This window comes from Homo sapiens, chromosome 17 (genome assembly GCF_000001405.40).
Source record: "Homo sapiens chromosome 17, GRCh38.p14 Primary Assembly".
Classification (NCBI taxonomy): Eukaryota; Metazoa; Chordata; class Mammalia; order Primates; family Hominidae; genus Homo; species Homo sapiens.
Window position 1 is genome coordinate 32,154,033 of NC_000017.11, and position 25,860 is coordinate 32,179,892.

At 44.9% G+C, this 25,860-nt stretch overlaps 1 protein-coding gene across 22 annotated transcripts in view, besides 1 other annotated feature; it reads left to right on the forward strand.

Annotated features, from left to right (window-relative positions):
• RHOT1 (ras homolog family member T1) overlaps positions 1-25,860 on the forward strand; it is an 83,226-nt gene that overhangs the window by 11,531 nt on the left and 45,835 nt on the right. For 13 of the 22 annotated variants that reach the window (NR_110083.2, NM_001033568.3, NM_001288754.2 and 10 more), the window contains exons 2-6: positions 17,011-17,069; positions 19,799-19,880; positions 21,287-21,330; positions 21,930-21,983; positions 22,129-22,181. Coding sequence is in view for 17 of the 22 variants with exons in the window: in NM_001033568.3 (NP_001028740.1) it covers positions 17,011-17,069; positions 19,799-19,880; positions 21,287-21,330; positions 21,930-21,983; positions 22,129-22,181 (292 nt within the window). In the remaining 5 variants the exon portion in view is untranslated. Of the gene's footprint in view, positions 1-6,007; positions 6,276-17,010; positions 17,070-18,904; positions 19,029-19,798; positions 19,881-21,286; positions 21,331-21,929; positions 21,984-22,128; positions 22,182-25,860 lie in introns of those variants that run through there. The other 9 variants (NM_001288755.2, XM_011524969.3, XM_047436356.1 and 6 more) reach the window with 5 other exon arrangements.
• Positions 2,169-2,712: a silencer, noted in NCBI's record as "fragment chr17:30483220-30483763 (GRCh37/hg19 assembly coordinates)". NCBI's record gives its function as "represses an EF-1alpha promoter that drives an FKBP-Casp9 reporter gene in an ReSE screen in HepG2 liver carcinoma cells {active_cell/tissue: HepG2}" and the evidence as "EXISTENCE:reporter gene assay evidence [ECO:0000049][PMID:32094911]".

Sequence of the window (25,860 nt, forward strand, 5' to 3'; positions counted from 1 at the left end):
TGGCTCATACCTTTAGTCCCAGAACTTTGGGAGGCCAAGGTGGGAGGATTGCTTGAGCCCAGAAGTTCAAGAGCAATCTGGGCAACATAGTGAGACTTTGTCTCTAAAAAAAAAAAAAGAGAAAAGGGGCCAGGCACAATGGCTCATGCCTGTAACCCCAGCACTTGAGAGGCCAAGGCAAGAGACTCACTTGAGCCCAGGGGTTTGAGGCCAGCCTGGACAACATAGGGAGACCCCGTCTCTACGAGAAATTAAAAAAAAAAAAAGGCCAGGCGCAGTGGCTCACGCCTGTAATCCCAGCACTTTGGGAGGCTGAGGTGGGCAGATCACGAGGTCAGGAGATCAAGACCATCCTGGCTAACACAGTGAAACTCCGTCTCTACTAAAAAAAAAAATACAAAAAAATTAGCCAGGTGTGGTGGCAGGCGCCTGTAGTCCCAGCTACTCGGGAGGCTGAGGCAGGAGAATGGTGTGACCCTGGGAGGCAGAGCTTACGGTGAGCAGAGACGGCGCCACTGCACTCCAGCCTGGGCGACAGAGCAAGGCTCCATCTCAAAAAAAAAAAAAAAAAAAAAATTGACCGGGTGCAGTGGCTCATGCTTGTAAACCTGGCACTTTGGGAGGCTGAGGTGGGTGGATCACTTGAGGTCAGGAGTTCGAGGCCAGCCTGGCCAACATGGTGAAACCATGTCTTTACTAAAAATACAAAAAAATTAGCCGGGCATGGTGGCACATGCCTGTAATCCCAGCTACTCGGGAGGATGAGGAAGGATAATTGCTTGAACCCAGGAGGCGGAGGTTGCAGTGAGCCGTGATCGTGCCATGCACTCCAGCTTGGGCAACAGAGCAAGGATCCATCTAAAAAAAAAAAAAAAATTAGCTGAGTGATGGAGTGGTAATTAGCTGAGTGACGGAGTGGTGTGTGCCTGTGGTCCCACCTACTTGAGAGGCTGAGGCAGGAGGATCACCTGGGGCCAGGAAGTTGAGGTTGCAGTGAGCTGTGATTGCACCACTGCACTGCAGCCTGGACAACAGAACAAGATCCTGTCTCAAAAAAGAAAAGAAAAAGAAAAACAGAACTATGGTAAGTCAGGGACTGTCTTTCTGTGTTGTTAGCATTAAATGCATTCTCTTTTTTTTTGAGATGGAGTCTCGCTCTGTCGCCCAGGCTGGATGGAGTGCAGTGGCGCGATCTCGGCTCACTGCAAGCTCCGCCTCCTGGGTTCACGCCATTCTCCTGCCTCAGCCTCCCGTGTAGCTGTGACTACAGGTGCCCACCACCACGCCTGGCTAATTTTTTTGTATTTTTAGTAGAGACAGGGTTTCACCATGTTAACCAGGATGGTCTCGATCTCCTGACCCTGTGATCTGCCAGCCTTGGCCTCCCAAAGTGCTGGGATTACAGGTTTGAGCCACTGCGCCCAGCCTAAATGCATTTTCTTTTCTTTTTCTTTCTTTCTTTCTTTTTTTTTTTTTTTTTAAGTTTTGGTTGCCAGGGAGGATCCTAACACATTTCAAAAAATTTTTTGAGACAAGGTCTCACTCTGTTGCCCAAGCTGGAGTGCAGTGGCTCAATCATGGCTCACTGCAGCTTCGACTTCCCAGGCTCCAGGGATCCTCCCACCTTAGCCTCCCGATTACCTGAGACTATGGGTGTGTGCCACCATGCCTGGCTAATTTTTTATTTTCTGTAGACATAGGGTCTCACTTTGTTGTCCAGGCTGATCTTGAACTCTTGGGCTCAAGTGATTCTCCCACCTCAGCCTCCCAAACTGCTGGGATTACAGACATGAGCCACTGCATCTGGTCTAAGTATATTTTTAACTTATATTTTCAACTTATGATGGGTTTATGGGGAAGAAATCCTATCATAAGTGAAGGAGCATCTGTGTTTTGCTTCCATGGTGCATAATCATCTGGAATCAGGATGTACTACTATGAATGTTGACAGGAATACTACCTTGAGCTAGCTGAAGGTTTGGGATTGCTGGAACCTTAAGCAAGGGCATGATAAATGTAGTTATTTAAGGAAAAAGGGTTATGAAATGTTGCATGTAAGTTGGCAAGATCTGAAAATTCCGGGACCCAACATTGGCTTGGTGAGTTCTACTTTGTTCTTGTAGCTAGATGAATGTTTCTGCCAAATCACTTTCCCACACACAGTTAAAACATACAGTTTGCAGATCTCTCTGCCATTTCTAGGGTACTATATCTTACGTAGTGGTGTGTGAATGTGTGTTTTGAGACAGGGTCTCGCTGTGTCACCCATCCTGGACCAGCTTGGCGTGCAGTGGTGTGATCATGGCTCACTGCAGCCTCAACCTCCTGGGCTCAGATGATCCTCCCACCTCAGCCTCTCAAGTAGCTGGGACTACAAGCACACGCCACCATGCCTGGCTAATTTTTAAAATTATTTTTGGTAGAGGCGGGGTCTCACTGTGTTGCCCAGGCTCGTTTTGAACTCCTGGGCTCAAGTGATCCCCTCACCTCAGCCTCCCAAAGTGCTGGGATTATGGGCATGAGCTGCCATGCCCAGCCCTTAATGTTAATGTGCACTTTTTCTCATGTTACAGACCTGTTTTCTAGGTGTGCTCCATGGAAGTTTAAGCATATGCCGTAAGCATTTAGATAACATCTAGTCCACCTATCCCCACCTTTTCTTTTTTTAACTGATTTAACTGGTGAGAAAAATTGAGGCCCAGAGAGAGTTGTAACTCAGGGTCATACTGTTAATGGCAAAAGCCGGTTCCTGAATCCAGATTTTCTGGCCCAGGCCAGTGCTCATTTTAACACCTTTAATTCAAACTGATCATTGTCATGACATTTACCATTTGTGTACTTAATGTGTGACAGGTGTTGTGCTAAGCATTATATAGCTCTCATCTTGATTAATCCTCTTAACAATTCTATGAGGCTGGCCAGTATTTTATAGATGAATAAGCAGCCTTGATGACTTGCCTGAAGAAGCACAGCTAGTAAGTGCTGGAACTAAGATTTCAGCCCAATTCTGTGTAGTTCCAAAGCCTGTGTTGTTTTTTCTTCTTTTCTTTTTTGATTAAATATTTATGTAAAAGGTAATAAAGAATAATATGACAAATACTCAACACCCAGCTTAAGAAATAAAGTATTACCAATCATTTGAAGCTCCCTTCCCATTACATTGTCCTCTCTTTTCCTCCAAAGTAATCATCCGCATTCCTGAGTTTCAAATTTGTGCTCCTAACCACCAAGCTATACAGCTGCATTTATTAAGTGCCATGGGAGCTGGAGCCACTGTTATTCAACAGTAAACAAGAAAGACATGTTTTCTGCCCTTGAGGAGTTTCCTATGGGTGATAATGAAATATTTGTTTCTTAATCTTTCTGGAGATCTTCAGTAGCTGGTACGAAATGTGACATCAAGGAGGTTTAAGAAGTCCTTCAGGAGATCACTGGTGATATGTTGGAAGGTTGCCTAGATATTACACAAATGAATCAGAGTTAAGAATACATGTGTTGGCTGGGCGCAGTAGCTCATGCCTATAATCCATTTGGGAGGTCGAGGCGGGTGCATCATGAGGTTAGGGTTCAAGACCAGCCTGGCCAACATGGTGAAACCCCGTTTCTACTAAAAATGCAAAAATTAGCCAGGTGTGGTGGTGCACACCTGTGATCCCAGCTACTCAGAAGGCTGAGAGACAGGAGAATCAGCTTGAACCCAGGAGGTGGAGGTTGCAGTGAGCTGAGATCATGCCATTGTACTCCAGCCTGGGTGACATAGCAAGACTGTCCCCCGCTCCCACCCCGCCGCCCAGAAAAAAAAAAAAGAATACGTGTGTCTTAATTGGATCACTGATTATTTTTTCTTCCTAGAGACCAAGTTATAGATTGGGTGTTTTGTTTTCCGACAAGGTCTTGCTCTTTCATGGCTCACTGCAGCCTCAACTTCCTGGGCTCAAGTGATCCTCCCACCTCAGCCTCCTGAGTATCTAGGAATCCAGGCCCTGCTAGTTTTTGTATTTCTTATAGAGACAGAATCTCGCCACATTGCCCAGGCTGGTCTCAAACTCCTGGGCTGAAGTGATCTGCCTGCCTCAGCCTCCCAAAGTGCTGGGATTACAGGCATGAGCCACTCTGTGCTCAGCCTTGTCTTAGTTAATATATTTTCCATATTATCCCCACATAGTATGTAAGACAAAACTTTGTCCTTAGAAGACAATCAGGTCAATAATTATAAAATGAACTAATAGTAGGAGTCTAGACAAAAAAGATGGGTCATGTAGAAGCGTAAGTTAATACCCTGCATGTTCTAGTGTTTTCCCTAGTTTGTTATAGGCAGGGTAGACATGAGTCTGGGTGGAACTAGTGCTCTTGGATAAAAAATCTATTACAGTGTTTCTCAGTTTTTGTTTGTTTGTTTTTTGTTTTTTTGAGACAGAGTCTCCCTCTGTCGTCGTTTTTTGAGACAGAGTCTTGCTCTGTCACCAGGCTGGAGTGCGGTGGCGCCATGCAATCTCGGCTCACTGCAACACCTGCCTCCCGCTTTCAAACGATTCTCCTGCCGCAGCCTCCCTAGTAGCTAGGACTACAAGCACATGCCACCACGCCCGGCTAATTTTTGTATTTTTAGTAGAGACGGGGTTTCACCATGTTGGCCAGGCTGGTCTTGATCTCTTGACCTCGTGATCCGCCCACCTCAGCCTCCCAAAGTGCTGGGATTGCAGGCATGAGCCAGCGTGTCCGGCCGTTTCTTGGTATTTTAGCTATAAGTTCTTTTGATAAATACAGAGCTCACGTACCCTCTGAGTTCCGACACCAATTTTCCTATACCAACTGAGTGTCATACAATTCAATTCAATTCTAATGATGGCAGTGGCGGCCATCTGGAGTGGCCATCAGCTGCAGCAGGGAGGCGCAAGCGGTGGCAGCAGGAGTGGCTGCTGGAGCAGCAGTGGTGGTGGTGGGACCCCTGTGCCCTGCATCCCTGAGGCAGCTGAGTGCATCACTCCTACCTCACATGGCTGGGCAGGACCTGCTTCCAGGCCTGGAGCCTCCACTATGGCCTCAACCTCTCCCCACACCGTGTCTCAGGAGCCCATGAGCACCCGGCTGAAGGCGCAGCTGGGACTCGTGGGGCCAGCCTCAAGATCATCGGGTTTGTTTGTGCGGGGTTGGCCGGGGCTGCCACGCCACCTGTACCTCTCCTGCTCCTGCTGCAGGGAAAATGTGGAGAGGAGGCATGTAGTCCCCAGAGCCCACACCTGGGAGCCCCCTGGAGCCTGATATCCCCAGAGCCACCATGATGGGGCCGGGCCGAGTTACCCGTTGGCAGGGGAGCAGTGTGATCAGGCATGGAGGGGTGGACAGAGAGGAGCCCCGAGGTGGAGCTGGGCCCTGAGCGGTGCCGCGCTCCATGGAGCTGGCAGGAGCTGGAAGCTGGCAAGAGCCCCACCTCCCAGTCGCAGCTGCAGCTGCCCAGCCGTGGCTGTGGACCCAGGCATCTCTGCAGTCTAAGGGGCCCAGGAAGCCTGTGGGCTTGGAGATGTCTGCTCCTGCTGCCTGGCCTCTCCCTGCTCCTGGTGCCCGTTCTGATCTCAGAGCGAGGTTGGGGCCAAGCCTGGGTGCTGTTGCAGCCTGACCGGGTGTGCGCATGCTTGGGACAGTGGTGACATGCCAGGCCCCTGCCACTTTGGCCTCCTCTAGACTTCAGGCACTGGCGAGCATGGGAGGGAGGCTGAGATGGGGACTGAGGGCAGCTTGGTGTAGGCCTGCAGGTACCCTTTGGCATGGCCTTGGCAGCTTGAATGCCAGCAGGAGGCAGACAGGCTCCTGGGCAGAAGGGGGCAGATGCCCCGTGAAGCCCCACCTTCAGGCTGGGAGGGCCTGAAGCCCGGGGGCTGGGTTGCTGATCCCGCAGACCAGTGTGGGAACTTGTGACGCGGGTCCTCCCATGGCTGCCCATGGACCAATCGGCACACTCTTCTTCCCCTCTGAGGCCCATAAAAAGCCTCCCGGACTCTGCCAGACCAGAAGAGAGACGACGGCATGACCTGCCTACAGGGAGGAACTACCCTCTCTGCTGAGAGCTGAAGGGGTGACAGGATGATCTGCCTGCAGAGAGGAGCTACCCTCTCTCCTGAGAACTGAAGAGACGTTGGGATGACCTGCCTGCAGAGAGGAACTACCCTCTCTGCTGAGAGCTGAACATTCTTCGGGACAGCCTGCCAAGCAGAGAGGAGCTATCCTCTCTGCTGAGAACTGAACACTTGTTGGGACACCCTGGCTACAGAGAGGAGGTACTCACTGTAGGTTTCCTCTGAGCTGTTGTGTCGCTCAGTAAAGCTCCTGTTTGTCTTGCTCAGCCTCCACTTGTCTGTTACCTCATTCTTCCTGGATGCAGGACAAGAACTCGGGACCTGCTGAATGGTGGGGCTAAAAGAGCTGTAACACAAACAGGGTTGAAACATGCCCCTTGCTTGCTACCTTGAGAGTGTAGAGAAGGAGAGAAGAGCTGCAGTCCTTCAGGGAGCCCAGACCTGGGAGCTCCCTTAGCCAGGGCTGTGACTCCCTCTTTGGGGCCCTGTGGTTCCTGGAGTCGCCAAGCTTCCGGGCACCACTGTGTTCTCCAGTGCCAGCTGTGGAAGCTGCTTGTGATGCGCCTGGTCCAGTTGCAGCCTCGCAGGGAGATGGTGCCCAAGCTGGCATCTGGAGCTGCCCACCCCACAGCAGCAGCCGGCGTGCCTGGCTGTGCACAGAGGTCAGACCCCATGCTTGCTCACACATCCCTCACCACTTTGTGCCTGGCTCACCTTTGGCAGGCGTGGGATCCAGGCTGGTCGTGTGAGTTGAGCACAGCCTGCCAGGCTGAGTGGGTGGAACGAGCCCAGTGGGCCAGAGCAAAACTTGGACAGAGGCACCACTGGCCACAGAAGTTTCCAGTTGGTGAAGTGACTCCCCAACGATCCCGTAACACTGACACCACCCAGAGTTAGCTTCAGATCCACTATAGTTGCCCAGTGGGTTCTTCTGCCTGCTACACAGACAGACCAATTCACTGAGACCACAGTATTGTAGTAAAGAAATAACTTAATTAACACAAGGCTGGCCATGCAGGAGAACTAAATGTATCACGCAAATTAGTCTCCCAGAAGGCTCAGAGGTTTGGGTTTTTCAAGGATAGTTTGGTGGGTGGGGGCTAGAGAATGGAGGATGTTGATTGGTTGAGGATGAAATCATCGGGATGTGGAAAACGTTCCTCGTGCTCAGTCAGCCGCTGATTGGGGGCCACAGGATCGACTGAGTCACAAGTTGTGGGTTCCGGTAGAGTCAGTCCTTCACCAGAAATGCAAAAATATGAAAAACATCTCAAAATGCCAATTGTAGGCTCTATTATCGTGATGTTATCACAGGAGTAACTGGGGAAAGTTACAAATCTCCTGACCTCCAGAACAATGGTTGGTTATCATTTACACCTGTATCTTAGCAGAATTCAGGTCCCTCACATAATCCTAACCTTGTGGCCTTTCACTAGTTTTACAAAGGTGGTTTAGTTTTAGGAAGTGCTATTATCATTCTTGCTTTAAGATTAAACAGTAAACTTAAATTCCTCTCAAGGTTATCTTGGCCTGTTCCCAGGAATGACCAGGGACAGCTTGGAGGTTAGAAGCAAGATGGAGTCAACTATGTCAGATTTCTCTTACTGTCATAATTTTGCAAAGGCAGTTTCACCACCAGTTAAAGAGCAAGGTTTCCAACAACATTGCCCTTACTTCAGCAGCATGCACTTTGGCCTGACCAACCACAAATTCAGGGCTTCCTACTACCCCCTCAGACTAGAGTGAGTCACAAAACTCGGGAAAGTGCTATATTCACGATTATACAAATGAACAACCAGATTGAAGAGGTACATGGGGAAAGGTCTGGAAGAGTCCCGAGCTCAGGAGCTTCTTTCTCTGTAGGGTCAGGGTGCACCACCTTCCTGGTACATTGACCTGTTCACCAACCAGGAAGCTCTCCTGAGCTTTGATGTTCGGAGTTTTTATATGGGTTTTCAGTAGGTAGATGTGATTAAGTCATTGGCCACGTGCTTGACTCCAGCTGTTTCCCTGTTGGAGGTTTTGGGGTGGGGCTGAGAGTTCTGACCCTCTAATCATGTAGTTGGTTTTTCTGGTGACCAGCTCCCATCCTGCTAGCATGCTCTGTTGCCCCCTCCTCCCCACGTGAGTCACCTCATTAGGATGAACTCTGTGGTTGAAAGGGACTCATTATTCATAATAAAAGACACTCCTATCATATAGGAAATTCCAAGGGATTCTGATGCTCTGTGCCAGAAGCTGGGGACAAAGACCAGATGTATTCTATGTTATATCATTCCCTCCTTTATATTATTTGAAATTTTAACATTTTATTTTTTACCAAAAACAAATTGAACACAGTAATTTTAGCATATGTTTATATTTTAACTGCCTCAGTAGCGACCTGTTATTCCCAGTTCTCCGGTTGCTGTTAAGAAAATCTTTGAATGCTAGTTCCAGAATCTCCAGGAGGTGGGACCAGTTTCGTTAGTGGTGATGTCGAAAATAACAGCAGTACCACTGTGCTTGGGCCAGGTGAAATCAAATCAGATGATTCAGTCTGGTTGATGTGCTAGAGGCCCTTTTCCCATTCATGTAAAATTGGAAAATTTTGTTCACTATCCAAGTGTTTCCAAATATTTGGTTATTGTGTCAATGTAGATTCATACATATTAAGTATGTATCTTGGGTATAAATTTAAGTTATAATTTAATATAAATTGTGTGGCACAAAAGTAGTTCAAAGGAGGAAGTGGAGGAAATAAGAGCTATAGGTAGAATTTGAACCATCCTTGAAAGATAATTATTAATAACATTTGGGAAAGTAGAGGGGAAAGCAGGAATGATGTTTAGATGAGGGAAACTGTGAGGTGGGCAGGATTTATCATGGCTTGTTTGCACTTAAACAATGCAGAATGGCCTTATTTGAGCAAATTGAGTGGGGGATAGTGGGAAATGAGATTAGGTAGGTGAGCTAGGGATAGATTATTTATGATATTCAAAGGCCAGTAGAATGATTTCATTTTGGTGTGGTAGATAATTGAGAGTCAAAGAAAGCGTTTGATCAGGTGAGTCAGAAAATGAAAAGAGCATGTAAGAAAAATGGACCAGCATTTATATTGTTGGTAGATTAATGAGGAGAGAGACTGGAGAAAGGGATAGGAAATTTGGGACTGGGAGATTTTTCAATAAAAGTACCATAATTAGGGAAATAGGGGAACAGTGAGGGAAGGAATGAATGTTAAAAATTTCAAAGGAAAATTTGACAGATCTTGACTGCTAAATGCAGAAGAATGATGAATCGGAGATGGTACATTTTTAAAATTTTTCTTTTTATCCAGATATGTAAAAAGAATGTTAACCAAGGCTGGGTGTGGTGGCTCACGCCTGGTAATCCCAGCATTTTGGGAGGCCAAGGTGGGCAGATCACAAGGTCAAGAGTTCGAGACCAGCCTGGCCAATATGGTAAAATCCCGTCTCTACTAAAAATACAAAAATTAGCCAGCGTGATGGTGCGCACCTGTAATCCCAGCTACTTTGGAGGCTGAGGCAGGAGAATCACTATAATCTGGGAGGCAGAGGTTGCAGTGAGCTGAGATCGTGCCACTGCACTCCAGCTTGGGTGACAGAGCAAGACTCCATCTCAAAAAAAAAGAAAGGGAAAAAAAAAACAAAGAATGTTAACTATATTGGTGATAACTATCTAAGTCTGTTACAATGTAATGTAAAAGTAGAGAGGACCTAGTGGCCATGATCAGTGGTATCCCCAGGATGAAGAATAGTGCCTGGTGGCCAGGCGTGGTGGCTCACCCCTGTAATCCCAGCACTTTGGGAGGCCGAGGCAGGTGGATCACGAGGTCAAGAGATCGAGACCATCCTGGCCAACATGGTGAAACCCTGTCTCTAATAAAAATACAAAAATTAGCCAGACGTGGTGGTGTGCACCTGTAGTCCCAGCTACTAGGGAGGCTGAGGCAGGAGAATTGCTTGAATCCAGGAGGCGGAGGTTGCAGTGAACCAAGATCGCGCCACTGCGCGAAAAGAATAGTGCCTGGCTTATAGAATTGCTTAAAAAATATTTATCAAAGGATGAAAGAATGCATTTAACCTGTCAACTTTTGGGTAAATTTTAGTTGTCATCTTTAACATCCCAATTTTTTTCTTTTTTTAGACGGAGTGTCGCTCCGTCGCCAGGCTGGAGTGCAGTGGCGCCGTCTTGGCTCACTGCAGCCTCTGCCTCCCGGGTTCAAGCGATTCTTCTGCCTCAGCCTTCCAAGCAGCTGGGACTACAGGCGTGTGCCACCATGCTCAGCTAATTTTTGTATTTTTAGTAGAGACGGGGTTTCACCATGTTGACCAGGATGGTCTTGATCTCTTGACCTCATGATCCGCCCACCTCGGCCTCCCAAAGTGCTAGAATTACAGGCGTGAGCCACCGTGCCCAGACTAACATCCCAATTTTTAATACCAAAAATTACCTTAAAAATAATACTTACTGAGGCTGAATGTGGTGGCTTACACCTGTAGTCCCAGCACTTTGGGAGGCTGAGGCAGATGGATGTCGAGCCCAGGAATTCAAGACCAGCCTGGGCAACATAGTGAAACCCTGTCTCTACTAAAAATACAAAAAATTAGCCAGGTATATAGTAGTGCACACCTGTAGTCCCAGCTACCCAGGAGGCTGAGGTGGGAGGATCGTTGATCCTGGAAGGTCAAAACTTCAGTGGTCTGTGATGGCACCACTGCACTTCAGCCTGGGTGACAGAGTGATACCCTGTCTCAAAAATAAATAAGCTGGGTGTGGTGGCTCACACCTATAATCCCAGCACTTAGGGAGGCCAAGGCAGGTGGATCACTTCAGGCCAGGAGTTCAAGACCAGCCTGGCCAACATGGTGAAACTCCCTCTCTACTAACAACAACAACAGCAAAACAAAAAACAAAAAAACAAAACAAAACAAAAAAAACAGGGCCGGGCGTGGGCGTGGTGGCTTACGCCTGTAATCCCAGCACTTTGGGAGGCCAAGGCAGGCGGATCACAAGGTCAGATCGAGACCATCCTGGCTAACACGGTGAAACCCCATCTCTACTAAAAATACAAAAAATTAGCTGGGCACGGTGGCAGGTGCCTGTAGTCCCAGCTACTTGGGAGGCTGAGGCAGGAGAATGGCGTAAACCCAAGAGGCAGAGCTTGCAATAAGCCGAAATCGCGCCACTGCACTCCAGCCTGGGCGACAGAGCAAGACTCCGTCTCAAAAAAAAAAAAAAAAAAAAAAAAAACAATACAAAAATTAGCCAGGCATGGTGGCACATGCCTGTAATCCCAGCTACTCAAGAGACTGAGGCACAAGAATGGCTTGAACCTGGGAGGTGGAAGTTGCAGTGAACCAAGATCGTGCCACTGCACTCCAGCCTGAGTGATCGAGAGAGACCCTGTCTCAAAAAAAAAAAAAGTTACTGATCTTTTCTAGTTAAAAAATTTTTGTGTTTATTTTCCAAGATAACCACTTTAGTATAATATATTCATCCAGTGGTTTTTTCTATGCACATACATATTTATCTTTAAAATGGGATCATATTGCACATGTTGACTTATACCTGCATAAATATCATTTTTAGAAGTAAAATGGAACTTGAACCTCCAAATAATGACAAACCATAAAATAATAGGATAATAGAGGAATCTGTTAGTCTATACTCATATATAAATAAGTAAACAGGCATACCTCAGAGAAACTGTGAGTTTGGTTCTACACTACCACAGTAAAGTGGCTCACAAATTTTTTTGTTTTCCCAGTGCATATAAAAGTTATGTTTATAGGCTAGGTGTGGTGGTGCATGCCTGTAATCCCAGCATTTTGGGATGCCAAGATGGGCGGATCTCCTGAGACCAGGAGTTTGAGACCTGCATGGCCAACAAGGCGAAACCCCATCTCTACTAAAAATACAAAAAAATGTAGCCAGGCATGGTGGCACATGCTTGGAATCTCAGCCACTCGAGTGGCTGAGACATGAAAATCGCTTGAACCTGGGTGGCAGAGGTTGCAGTGAGCCAAGATTGTGCCACTGCACTCCAGCTTGGGTGACACAGCGAGACTCTATCTCAAAAAAAAAAAAAAAAAGTTATGTTCATACTATACTGTAGTCTGTTAAGTGTGTAATGTAATATCTAAAAAATGTACATACCTTAATTTAAAAATACTTTATTGTCAAAAAATGCTAATGATCATCTGAGCCTTCAGTGAGTTGTAACCTTTTTGCTGGTGGAGAGTCTTGCCTCAGGGTTGATGGCTGCTGACTGATTAGGGTGGTGATTCCTGAAGGCTGGGGTGGCTGTGGCAATTTCTTAAAATAAGACAACTATGACATTTGCTGCATCGATTGACTCTTCCTTTCACTAAAGATTTCTCTGTAGCATGTGATGCCATTTAATAGCATTTTACCCACAGTGGAACTTCTTTCAGAATTGGAGTCAATCCTCTCAAACCCTACTGCTGCTTTATCAACTAAGTTTATGTAATATTCCAGGTCCTTTGTTGTCATTTCAATATTGCTCACAGCATCTTCACCAGTAGATTCTGTCTCAAGAAACCACATTCTTTGCTCATCCATAATAAACTCTTCATCTGTTCAAGTTTTATTATGAGATTGCAGCAATTTAGTCACATTTTTAGGCTTCACTTCTAATTCTAGCTCTTTTCTTGCTATTTCCACCATATCTGCAATTCCTTCATTGAGGCTTGAATCCCTCAAAGTCATGTGAGGGTTGGAACCAACTTCTTCCAAACTCCTGATAATGTTACTTTGATCTCCTGTGAATCACAAATGTTCTTGATGGCATCTAGAATGGTGAATTATTTCCAGAAGGTTTTTAGTTTACTTTGCCCACATCCATCAGAGGAATCACTATCTATGGCAGCTATATATAGGCTTACACAATGTAAATAGTAAGCCTAAATAATAAGGCTTGAAAGTTATAATTACTCCTTGAACCATGGACTGCAGACTGGATGTCATGTTAGCAGGCACGAAAATAATCTCCTTGTACGTCTCCATCTGAGCTCTTGGGTGACCAGGTGTATTGTCAGTGAGCAGTAATATTTTGAAAGGAATCTTTTTTTTTTTTGAGGAGTAGGTCTCAACAGTAGCCTTAAAATATTCAATAAACCATTCTGTAAACAAATGTGCTGTCATCCAGGCTTTGTTATTCCATTTATAGAGCACAGGCAGAATAGATTGAGCATAATTTTTTTTTTTTTTTTGAGACGGAGTCTCGCTCTGTCGCCCAGGCTAGAGTGCAGTAGTGCAATCTTGGCTCACTGCAAGCTCCGCCTCCCGGGTTCACACCATTCTCCTGCCTCAGCCTCCCGAGTAGCTGGGACTACAGGCACCCACCACAATGCCCGGTTAATTTTTGTATTTTTAGTGGAGCCTCCCAAGTAGCCGGGATTACAGGCGTGAGCCACCATGCCCGGCCAGATTGAGCATAATTTTTAAGGGCCCTAGGATTTTCAGACTGGCAAATGACCACTGGCTTCCACTTAAAGGCAGCAACCTGCATTAGCCCCTAACAAGAGTCAGCCTATCCTTTTAAGCATTGAAACCAGGCATTGATATCTGCTCTCTAGCTATCGATGGCATCTTCTTCTGATACAAGGCTGTTTCATCTACATCGAAAATCTTGGTTGGGTCGTATAATACCAGCAACTTGGGAGACCAAGACAGGAGGATTGCTTGAGGCCAGGAGTTTAAGATCATCTTGGGCAACATGGTGAGACCCTGTCCGTACAAAGAATTAAAAAATTCACTGGATGTGGTGGCGTGGCCTGTGATACTAGCTACTCAGGAGGCTAAGGCAGGAGGATTGCTTGAGCCCAGGAGTTTGAGGCTACAGTGAGCTATGATCATCCCACTATGCTCTAGCCTAGGTGACAGAGACCCCCATCTCTAAGGAAAAAAAGAAAAGGAAACATTTGTTTACAGAATGGCTTATTGAATATTTTAAGGCTACTGTTGAGACCTACTCCTCAAAAAAAAAAAAGATTCCTTTCAAAATATTACTGCTCACTGACAATACACCTGGTCACCCAAGAGCTCAGATGGAGACGTACAAGGAGATTATTTTCGTGCCTGCTAACATGACATCCAGTTATGTCATGCACACACACACACACTCACATACACATGCATGTATTTTTTCCTCCAGACAGAGTTTCACCATGTCACCCCGGCTGGAGTGCAATGGTAAGATCATGGTGCTCTGTGTGGCCTCCAACTCCTGGGCTCAAGCAGTCCTCCTGCCTCAGCCTCGCAAGTAGCTGGGACTACAAGTGTGTGCCACCACACCTGGCTAATTTTTTAAAAACTGTTTTGTAGAGACAGGGTGTCATTATGTTACCTAGGCTGGTCTCAAACTCCTGGCCTCAAGTAGTCCTCCCACTTCAGCCTCACAAAGTGCTGGAATTACAGGCATGAGCCACTGCACCAGACATATATATATACACACACACAAACACATATATGTAATATATAATATTTATATATATAAATATATTTTTATATATTTTATATATACGCCTCATAAATTATTCTGATGCATGGCTTTAGAGGTCACCATTCCCTTTCGGTGTTGTTAACTTGTATTAGCAATATTTTTTAAAGTATGGCACAAGAAAGAGAAAGCATTGGCTTGGCCATCAGGAGATGGGTTATTCTCTTAAATCTGCAACTAATCTTTTAGTAAGACTTAGAAAATGACTGTCTCTGGATCCCAGATTCTTTATCTGAAAATTTTCTGGGGAGCTGAATAAACTGACATTGTTAACTAGATTCTAGCAGTTCTGTGATGATGGATTCACGGACATCATCAGAACTCAGTGAAATGTGACCTGTGGTCAGCCATTTGAAAAAGGCCTAAACCTTCTTACACAAGTCAATTGAAAAGGCCTGTAGAAATCAGAGCTCGAAGACACCTGTTAAATCATCTGATCTATCCCTCTACCAGCGGTACTCGGTTGTTCATAGCCCTCTCTAAGCTGTTTTCACTCTCCTTCCTGTGTTCCAGACATTCATTATTTTCCCAGAGACTGGACTTGTGTTCACCCTTTTAATCATTTAAGAAGGGAATGTGACTTTTCTTAACTCAAAAAATTTCATTTATTTTATATTTAGACTTTAATTTTGGAAACTGTTGATAATGGCAGAGATTAGTAAGCATGTGGACTGTTTTCCTCTAGATTCACAAAAGGATTTAGTTGATGAATGTCTAACAATAGTAATTATATGATCAGAAAGTGACGGGAATACAAGTCAAATTTCATAATAAAAGTTAAGATTTTAAAGTTTGTGTATAAAAAAATTGCTAGAATAGAAAATGTAATAGGAGACTTTCTTTGCTTTTACCTTGTTACTAACCCTTTAAATATGATGCTCTATGGAAGAAAGAATGTAGAGATGCAGAGAAATGAGCATTCTGATATTCTGTTTATGAGGATGTAAATTGGTTTATTCGTTTTTGGAGATAATTTAACAACATCAGTTAAAAATAAAAAAGATCTTGTGCACTAACTTGAGTTCTACTTCTAGGAATTTATTCTGTAGAAATACTAATTGTTGCATTGTTTATAAAAGTGAAAACTTAGGGCCAGGTGTGGTGGCTCACACCTGTAATCCCAGCACTTTGCGAAGCTGAGGCAGGTGGATTGCTTGAGTCAAGGAGTTTGAGACCATCCTGGGCGACATGACGAAACCCTGTCCCTATTAAAAATACAAAAAAAATTAGCTGGTTGTAGTGGCATCTGCCTGTAGTCCCAGCTACTCGGGAGGCTGAGGTGGGAGAATCACCCAAGCCTGGGGAGGTTGAGGCTGCAGTGAGCCAAAAAAATCACACCACTGCACTCCAGCTTGGGCAATCAGAGTGGGACCCTGAATCAAAAAAAAAAAGTTAAAACTTGGAAACCATTCCAATGTTCCTTGTTAAGAGTTTATTTTAATAAATTATAATACATCATGCAGTGGATTCTAATACAACTATCAAAAATAATGCAGGATGGCTGGGCGCGGTAGCTCACGCCTGTAATCCCAGCACTTTGGGAGGCCGAGGCAGGTAGATCACCTGAGGTCAGGGGTTCGAGACCAGCCTGGCCAACATGGGGAAACCCTGTCTCTACTAAAAATACAAAAATTAGCTGGACGTGGTGACACATGCCTATAATCCCAGCTACTTTGGAGGCTAAGGCACGAGAATCGCATGAACCCAGGTGGTGGGGATTGCAGTGAGCCAAGATTGCGCCACTGCACTCTAGCCTAGGCAACGGAGTGAGACTCCATCTCACAAAAAAAAAGAGATTTAAAAAAATATTAATATAAAATGGGTTTATTATTGCTGCTTTTAAAAATTGGTTAAAATACATGTAACAATTATTTTAACTGTAAGTATACAATTCAGCAGCATTAAATTTATTCATAATGTTGTGTAACCATCACCACTATCTGTACTTAAAACTTTTTTATTATCCTCAACAAAAACTATGTACCCATTAACCAGTAACTTTTGTCTTCTCTTCTAGGAGTTTTTATGTACTGACATGAAATACTGCCCAAATGCATAATTAAGTGATAAAGGAAAATTGCAAAGTAGTGTGATAACTATGATTCCATTGTGGTAAAATATTGCAAGTTAATATAAGTATAGGAAAAATCTGGGAGAATATTAAAATGTTAGTAGAGGATGTTAGGAGGGATTTGTACTTTTACAGAATATATTTTGGCAAGTTTTTAAAAAAGAGTATGTGTGACTTTTCTAAACATAAAGATATACTTTTAAGTATTATACTAAAACTTAATAATTTGGATGCCTTAGATTTTAGCTAATGAGTAACAGACTGCCTTATGTGGTTGCCAAATTTGAGCTTATGTAGAACCTAACACTTTATTAAAGTAACGATTTTTCTTTTCACAGCTAGAGTTGGGAAGACATCACTGATTATGTCTCTGGTCAGTGAAGAATTTCCAGAAGAGGTAAACATTTTGATTTCCATATTTAAATTTTAAAAAATTTATCAAAATCAAATTAAAATGAACTGAATTCTGTCTCTTTTGGCATGTGTTATGTGCTTCCTTTTGGACAGTTGAGACTTTTTTTTCTCCCTTCTTTAGAGACAGGGTCTCACTCTATTGCCCAGGCTGGAGTGCAGTGGTGCCATCATAGCCCACTGCAACCTCCAACTCCTGGACTCAAGCAATCCTCCTGTCTTGGCCTCCCAAAGTGCTGGGATTACAGGCATGTGCCACTGTGCCCTGCCAGTTGAGACTTTTTAAAAAGCTAATATTTGTTTATCACCTGTATCTATGAAATACAGTATAGGAGAAATAACCAGCCTGTGTCTAAGTTCATCTAAGTCTTTTGCATTTTCTTCCTTTGACTTTGTCTAGGACCTTTGTATTCTCTGTGTCTCAGTTGTCTCATCTATAAAATGGAAGCTGAAAGGGATATAAATGTCATATAAGCTCTGTGACCCTTTCTTAAAAATAAAATGTTGCTCATAAACCCAAAACATAAAAAAGATAATGAGCATTCCGTGAGTTGAAGTTAAGGGGAAAGATGTGAATCCCTACTTGCCTTCTGCCTGACACTCCCTGGTCTGTGAGGTGTTTTTGTCGGAACCACTAGAATTATGATACATATATTTGAAAACCTTTAATATGATCTACCTGCTTCATTTTACAAATGTTGAAACAAACTCATTCCACCTTTGCCTACCTCAAAGGATTGTTATGGGTCTCAAATGAGATGAACTTAATAGCAGGGAAGTGCCACCAAAAGTAGTAAGGTGGTTTTATTATTACTGGCAATAAATTTACATTTTGGAAGTTCTAGAGTGAGGAGCTGTTGGCTAAACTTTGCATAAAGTTAGCATATAGTTATAGGGAATGAAATTTGTGCAATGGGATGAAAATGATTTCAAATTACCCTCTTTCTTGCATAGTAGGTATCATTAGTGTCACAGTTTACATTTATCCTTCCTTTACTCTAGTTTAGATAGGAATATCTGTATAATTTCATTGTTCAAATAGGAATTTGATGTATCATGTGATAGTGTTTTCAACATTTACAGCTGCCAAAAGACTATTTATTATTATTTTTTGCTTTTTTTCTCTTAGACAAGATGGTTAAATAAGTAATTGCTTAATTTAAGAAATGAAGTATATTTTCGTGTATTATTTGTAGAATCAGTAACATTAATTTATAATTACTCTGGGTATAACACCTAAAAGTTTTCTGTGAGAGTTTTAGTTTAGAATTGTTTTAGCATACTCCTCTTGATTGTGGATAAGGGTTTTGTGTTTTTGGTTTTTTAAAATTTAGTTTTTCACTTTTTTAGGGATTGTAAGTAATCTAGAAGGGTTTTTAATTAATTTTTAAAAATTCAGTCCTTGTGAAAAATGGAATCATTAAACATAAGGCTTGGCTGGGCGCAGTGGCTCACGCCTGTAATCCCAGCACTTTGGGAGGCTGAGGTGGCCGGATCACTTGAGGTCAGGAGTTCAAGACCAGCCTGGCCAACATGGTGAAACCCCATCTCTAGTAAAATACAAAATTAGCCAGGTATGGTGGCGCATGCCTGTAATCCCAGCTACCTGGGAGGCTGAGGCAGGAGAATAGCTTGAACCCAGGGGCAGAGCTTGCAGTGAGCTGAGATCGTGCCATTGCACTCCAGCCTGGGCAACAAGAGCAAAACTCTGTCTCAAAAAATAAATAAGTGAATGAAAAACAAGCAAACATAAGGCTTATGTAGCCAGTCAATTATTTTCTAGAGGAAATGAATGTTGATAACCTGTTGGTTTATTTGCAGATTGTTGTGGATTTAAATACCTCCTCATTTGCAGAGTATCTTCAGCCTTCAACAAAATAGAATGAAAACAACATATTTAAAAAATCTAACACCGAAACACCAAATTAATCCAAGAATCCACTGAGTCTGTGTCACATCTGAAGTATCCTTAATGTATTGTGTCTATGTAGATAGAAATACGCATTTAAAATGTTTTTATCCTATAGTTTTAATATATATTTGCATCTGTGGTAAAGCACAAAAATAAACACTTATATATACAACAAATGGGTATTGGTGAGAGGGGTAATACAAGTTGAGCATCCTTTATCCAAAATGCTTGGGACCAGAAGTGTTTCAGATTTCAGATTTGTTCAGATTTTGGAATGTTTGCATTATACTTACCAGTTGAGCATTTCCCTAATCTGAAAATCAGAAATGCTCCAATGAACATTTCCTTTGAGTATCATGTTAGTGCTAAAAAGTTTAGAATTTTGGAACATTTCAGATTTCAGATTCTGGGCTTAGAAATACTCAGCCTGTGATCCCAGCACTTTGGGAGGCCGAGGCGGGTGGATCACAAGGTCAGGAGTTCAAGACTAGCGTGGCCAAGATGGTGAAATCGTGTCTCTACTAAAAATACAAAAATTAGCTGGGCGCAGTGGTAGGCGCCTGTAATCCCAGCTACTCGGGAGGCTGAGGCAGGAGAATCACTTGAACCTGGGCAGCAGAGGTTGCAGTGAGCAGAGATCGCACCACTGCACTCTAGCCTGGACCATAGAGTGAGACTCCATTAAAAAAAAAAAAAGAAAAGAAACACTCAACCTGTGTAGATAAATTTATATCATCTATTACAAGTTTGAGTGATAATATTCAAAGGTGTTTTTTTTTTTCTATATTTGTTTGTAAATGAAGGTTCCTCCCCGGGCAGAAGAAATCACCATTCCAGCTGATGTCACCCCAGAGAGAGTTCCAACACACATTGTAGATTACTCAGGTAATGAATATCCTCTTGTAGATGAAGGTGTAGGTTAATTTAATAGACTTGAAAAAAGATACTTACTGAGCTTTTACAAATGTTCAGAGAGGTGGTCTTTTCTCTGTAGCAGTAAATGATCCTTTACGATTCTTATCTCATTTATGTCTGTCAACCTCTACCCTATACCCCACCCAGTGCCTCCATCTGACAGTTCTTCGTCCCCAGATTACTAAGTTGGGTTCCATAATACCTGTGGCTGTTGAACACTTGAAATGTGACTGTTCTAAATGAAAATGTGCTGTTAATTGTAAAATATAACTGGATTTTGAAGACTTAGTATGAAAAAAGGATGTAAAATATGTCATTAATTTTTCTATTGAGTACATGTTGAAATTTAAATACTTTTGATATTTTGGGTTAAATGAAAATTTAATTTTACCTTTTTTACTTACCTTTTTAAAGGTTGCTACTAAAAAATTGAAAACTATGTATGTGGCTTGCATTATCTGTATGTTGGACAGCACTGTACTGAAAGCTGAGGGAGGTGAATGACTTCTGCTACAATCAGTCTCATAACTAGATTTATTTACAGAATTATTCTTCAATATGTGTAGCCATATAATTAGATTCACCTCAGTATTAGAATTGAAGCCTTAACCCATTGATTACTTAACATATGGAAAGATATTAAAAATATGGCCTGTTATTTAGCATAGTATAAAATACCATTGAATTCATGTATGATATTAGTTTATATGTCAGAAGTAACAGGCATTTTTAGGGGAAGATATATGTAACCTAAGGTGGTCTAAATCAGTATGCCAGTAATTGCTTTGCTCTTCAATTATTTGCTTTCTATCCTAGCTATATCATTCATATCCCTGCATGCGTGGAATTGCAGGCACACCCACCCATTGAGACCAGTTCTAGCTAAAGATACATGCTAGAGAGGGAATTCTCATCACTTCATTATCAAGCTACAGTTTTGCCTCTGGGTCTTGGTTATTATTACTCCCACCTGCTATCTAGATCTTAAGCTTGTATTACCCAGAATCTCACCTGCCTTTTGATCCTGTGTGTATAGACTCTTTGTCCGAGCTTCTGACTCTTCAGCACCCAGTCTGCTAGCTTGGATTTCTGAAGTCCTTTGCCTGACCCTTTTCAACTCTGGACCAGATGCTGGCCTAGATTTATTACACAATGCTTCTGCTGTTCCATGCCTGAGTTATCCTTTTATAGACTCGTCTTTCAGGGCCAGCTGCCTTATCGTAGTTGAACCTTTTCCTTCCCCTGGCTTTCCCTTGTGTTTGCTACACCATGTCATTTTGAGGGATGTTAGATGAGTGTTGCATAGAATTTAGCTTGGCCATTAGTTTTTATGAAAGTGTCTGCAATATGAAACATTGACTTCCTGTCATTTGTAGAAGCAGAACAGAGTGATGAACAACTTCATCAAGAAATATCTCAGGTGAGCTTTAAAAAACAGAGGTGTGGGGTTTTGTGTAGAAAAACAGTGATGATTTTATGAGCCTGCCTTTTTCATTCTCTTTGTTTGTTGGTTTTTGTGTTTTTTTTGGGACCGTGTTTCACTCTGTCACCCACTCTGTCACCCAGTGCAGTGGCGCAATTTTGCCTTATCGCAACCTCCATCTCGCAGGCTCAAGCGATTCTCATGCCTCAGCCTCCCAAGTAGCTGGGATTACAGGCATGCACCACCATGCCCAGCTAATTTTTGTATTTTAGTAGAGATGGGGTTTTGCCATGTTAACCAGGCTAGTCTCAAACTCCTGCCCTCAAGTGATACACCCCGTCCCTTTTTCATTCTCTTAATTACCAAAAGTTCTTTTGCAGTTCTTTATTGTTATGGCTGTTACTGAGTATGTGTTTTTGCTTTAAGTCCTTAGGAACATTTTCTCTTAGAGGCAAGCTAATTCTTTTTTTGTTTTTTTGTTTTAGCTGTTAAATTTTTTCTTCCTTTCACCCGAATATATTAATAAGTTGCTAATTAAGTGCTGTCTATGTTTTTATTATTTTTAGATACGATTAATTTGTTAATTTTTCTTCTAGGCTAATGTCATCTGTATAGTGTATGCCGTTAACAACAAGCATTCTATTGATAAGGTAGGTGTGATCTTTTTTTCCCTATAGTTGGTTTCAGTGGAGTGCTTCCAAAGTTGATTCTCAGTTTAGAATTTTAGGGGTCTAAGGGAAGAGTGTTTTGTAAAGATCCTTATCATGGCTAAGCGCTTGTTAATTTTCATTTTAGGTAACAAGTCGATGGATTCCTCTCATAAATGAAAGAACAGACAAAGACAGCAGGTATTTTTTCCTCTCTCAAACTTTTTATAATTAAAAAGTTTAAAGCTTGCAGAAAAGGTACAAGAAGTAGTACATTGAACTTCCCTAAATCCTTCACTTAAATTTACTAGGTAACGTTTTGCCACGTTTGCCTTATCTATCAGTTTTTCTGTCTGTTCATACACACACCCACGTGCCTTTTTTGGGGGGATTCATTTGAGGCAGTAGATATACTTGAGAGCAAAGCAAGAAACAGAACTCTGATATCATGATTCACAACTTCAGACAGATTATTTTGGTCATAAATCTTACATTTCTCTTCCTCAAACTGCTGCTTGAAAAGTCTCAGTTTTATTTATTTATTTATTTATTTATTTATTTATTTATTTATTTATTTTGAGACAGAGTCTTGCTCTGTCGCCCAGGCTGGAGTATAGGAGCACAATCTTGGCTCCTTGCAGCCTCCGCCTCCTGGATTCAAGTGATTCTCATGCCTCAGTCTCCTGAGTAACTGGGACTGCAGGCATGTACCACCATGCCTGGCTAATTTTCGTATTTTTTAGTAGAGAGGGTTTCGCACGTTGGTCAGTCTGGTCTCGAACTCATGACCTCAAATGATCTGCTCGCCTTGGCCTCCCAAAGTGCTGGGACTACAGGCAAGAGCTACTGTGCCTGGCCTGAATCTTTTTAAATAGGAAAATCAGACTAATATCTATATATTGTACACATTTAGTCCTTTTCTCAATTTTTTAGATTTCTCTTTTAGTTGGAAGTTTTTGTGCCTTGAAACGCTAAAGATCTGGTTCTAAACATATGACTATGGTCATTAACCCTCTGTCTTACATATTTTGGAAGGGAGACTGAGATGACATTATATGTGCTGTGAGAAATGCTGTGGCATTGTATGGCTTCTCTTTTATCATGGTTTTAACTTTGTGATGATTTGACAAGGTGGAAAGGAAAGAATGACCCTTTAGAGCTCTGCTGTCCAGTGTAGTAGGCTCTCGTCAGTTGTGGTGATTTAACTTTAAATTAATTAAAATTAATAAAACTAAAACTTGTTCCTCGGATACACTTAGCCACGTTTCAAGTGCTCATAGCCACATGTGACTAATGCTTACAGTAATGGAGAGTAGAGATAAAGAGCATTTCCATCATCATAGAATGTTGTATTGGACAGGGATGCCTTGGGGGATCCAATACCCATATGTTCCTAATATCTGCTTTTCTTGCTTTTGCTTGCGCCATTTCTAGGAGGGAATCTTTAAGAGAGGGCAGTTTTGCCAGGTGCGGTGGCTCACGCCTGTAATCCCAGCACTTTGGGAGGCCGAGGCAGGCGGATCATGAGGTCAGGAGATCGAGACCATCCTGGCTAACACAGTGAAACCCCATCTCTACAAAAATACAAAAAAATTAGCTGGGTGTGGTGGGAGGCGCCTGTAGTCCCAGCTACTCGGGAGGCTGAAGCAGGAGAATGGCATGAACCCAGGAGGCGGAGCTTGCAGTGAGCCGAGATCACGCCACTGCACTCCAGCCTGGGCAACAGAGCGAGACTCCGTCTCAAAAAAAAAAAAAAAGAGCCCCATCGAGCCTGCAGATGGCTGCAGCCCCCAGTGACATCTTTCTTTCTTTCTTCTTTTTTTTTTTTTGAGATGGAGTTTCCACTCTGTTGCCCAGGCTGGAGTGCAGTGGTGCGATCTTGGCTCACTGCAACCTCTGTCTCCCAGGTTCATGCAATTCTCCTGCCTCAGCCTCCCGAGTAGCTGGGATTACAGGTACCCACCACCACACCCAGCTAATTTTTGTATTTTTAGTAGAGACGGGGTTTCACCATGTTGGCTAGGCTGGTCTTAAACTCCTGACCTCAAGTGATCCACCTGCCTTGGCTTCTCAAAGTGCTGGAATTACAGGCATGAGCCACCGCATGAGAGATGCTGAGTCGATCGACCACCCAGCTAGGCCACTCCCAAATTCCTGGCCGGAAGAAACTACATGAAATAATAAATGCCCTCCCCCCCCCCAGTGATCTCCCTCTCTTGCCGAGTCTGGACTGTACTGCCGTGATCTCGGCTCACTGCAACCTGCCTGCCTCGGGCTCCCATGATTCTCCTGCCTCGGCCTACCGAGTGCCTGGGATTCCAGGCACGTGCCACCACTCCTGACTGGTTTTTGTATTTTTGGTGGAGACGGACTTTCGCCGTGTTGACCGGGCTGGTCTCCAGCTCCTGGCCTCGGGTGATCTGCCTGCCGTGGCCTCCCGAGGTGCTGGGATTGCAGACGGAGTCTCGCTCACTCAATGCTCAGTGTTGCCCAGGCCGGAGTGCAGTGGTGGGATCTCGGCTCGCTACAACCTTCACCTCCCAGCCGCCTGCCTTGGCCTCCCAAAGTGCTAAGATTACAGCCTCTGCCCGCCCGCCACCCCGTCTAGGAAGTGAGGAGCATCTCTGCCCGGCTGCCCATCGTCTGGGATGTGAGGAGCGCCTCTGCCCGGCTGCCCCGAATGGGATGTGAGGAGCGCCTCTGCCCAGCCGCCCTGTCTGGGAGGTGAGGAGCGCCTCTGCCTGGCTGCCCCGTCTGGGAAGTGAGGAGAGCCTCTGCCCGGCTGCCACCCCGTCTAGGAAGTGAGGAGCATCTCTGCCTGGCCACCCCGTCTGGGATGTGAGGAGCGCCTCTGCCCGGCCGCCACCCCATCTGGGAAGTGAGGAGTGCCTCTGCCCGGCCGCCACCCTGTCTGGGATGTGAGGAGCGCCTCTGCCCGGCCGCCACCCCGTCTGGGAAGTGAGGAGCGCCTCTGCCTGGCAGCCCTGTCTGGGAAGTGAGGAGCGCCTCTGCCTGGCCGCCCCGTCTGGGAAATGGGAAGCGCCTCTGCCTGGCCGCCCCATCTGGGAAGTGGGGAGCGCCTCTACTTGGCTGCCCCGTCTGGGAAATGGGAAGCGCCTCTGCCCGGCCGCCCCGTCTGGGAAGTGAGGAGCACCTCTGCCCGGCCGCCACCCCGTCTGGGAAGTGGGGAGCACCTCTACCTGGCCGCCCCGTCTGGGAAATGGGAAGCGCCTCTGCCCGGCCGCCCCGTCTGGGAAGTGAGGAGCGCCTCTGCCCAGCTGCCACCCCGTCTGGGATGTGAGGAGCGCCTCTGCCTGGCTGCCCCATCTGGGAAGTGGGGAGCGCCTCTACCTGGCTGCCCCATCTGGGAAATGGGAAGCACCTCTGCCCGGCCACCCCATCTGGGAAGTGAGGAGCGCCTCTGCCCAGCTGACACCCCATCTGGGATGTGAGGAGCACCTCTGCCCGGCCGCCCCGTCTGGGAAGTGAGGAGCGCCTCTGCCCGGCCGCCCCGTCTGGGAAGTGAGGAGCGCCTCTGCCCGGCCGCCCATCGTCTGGGAAGTGAGGAGTGTCTCTGCCCGGCCACCCCGTCTGGGAAGTGAGGAGCGCCTCTGCCCGGCTGCCCCGTCTGGGAGGTGAGGAGCGTTTCTGCCCGGCCGCCCATCATCTGGGAAGTGGGGAGCCCCTCTGCCCGGCTGCCCCGTCTGGGAAGTGGGGAGCGCCTCTGCCCAGCCACCCCATCTGGGAAGTGAGGAACGCCTCTGCCCGGCCACCCCGTCTGGGAAGTGGGGAGCGCCTCTGCCTGGCCGCCCATCGTCTGGGAAGTGGGGAGCGCCTCTACCTGGCTGCCCCATCTGGGAAATGGGAAGCGCCTCTGCCC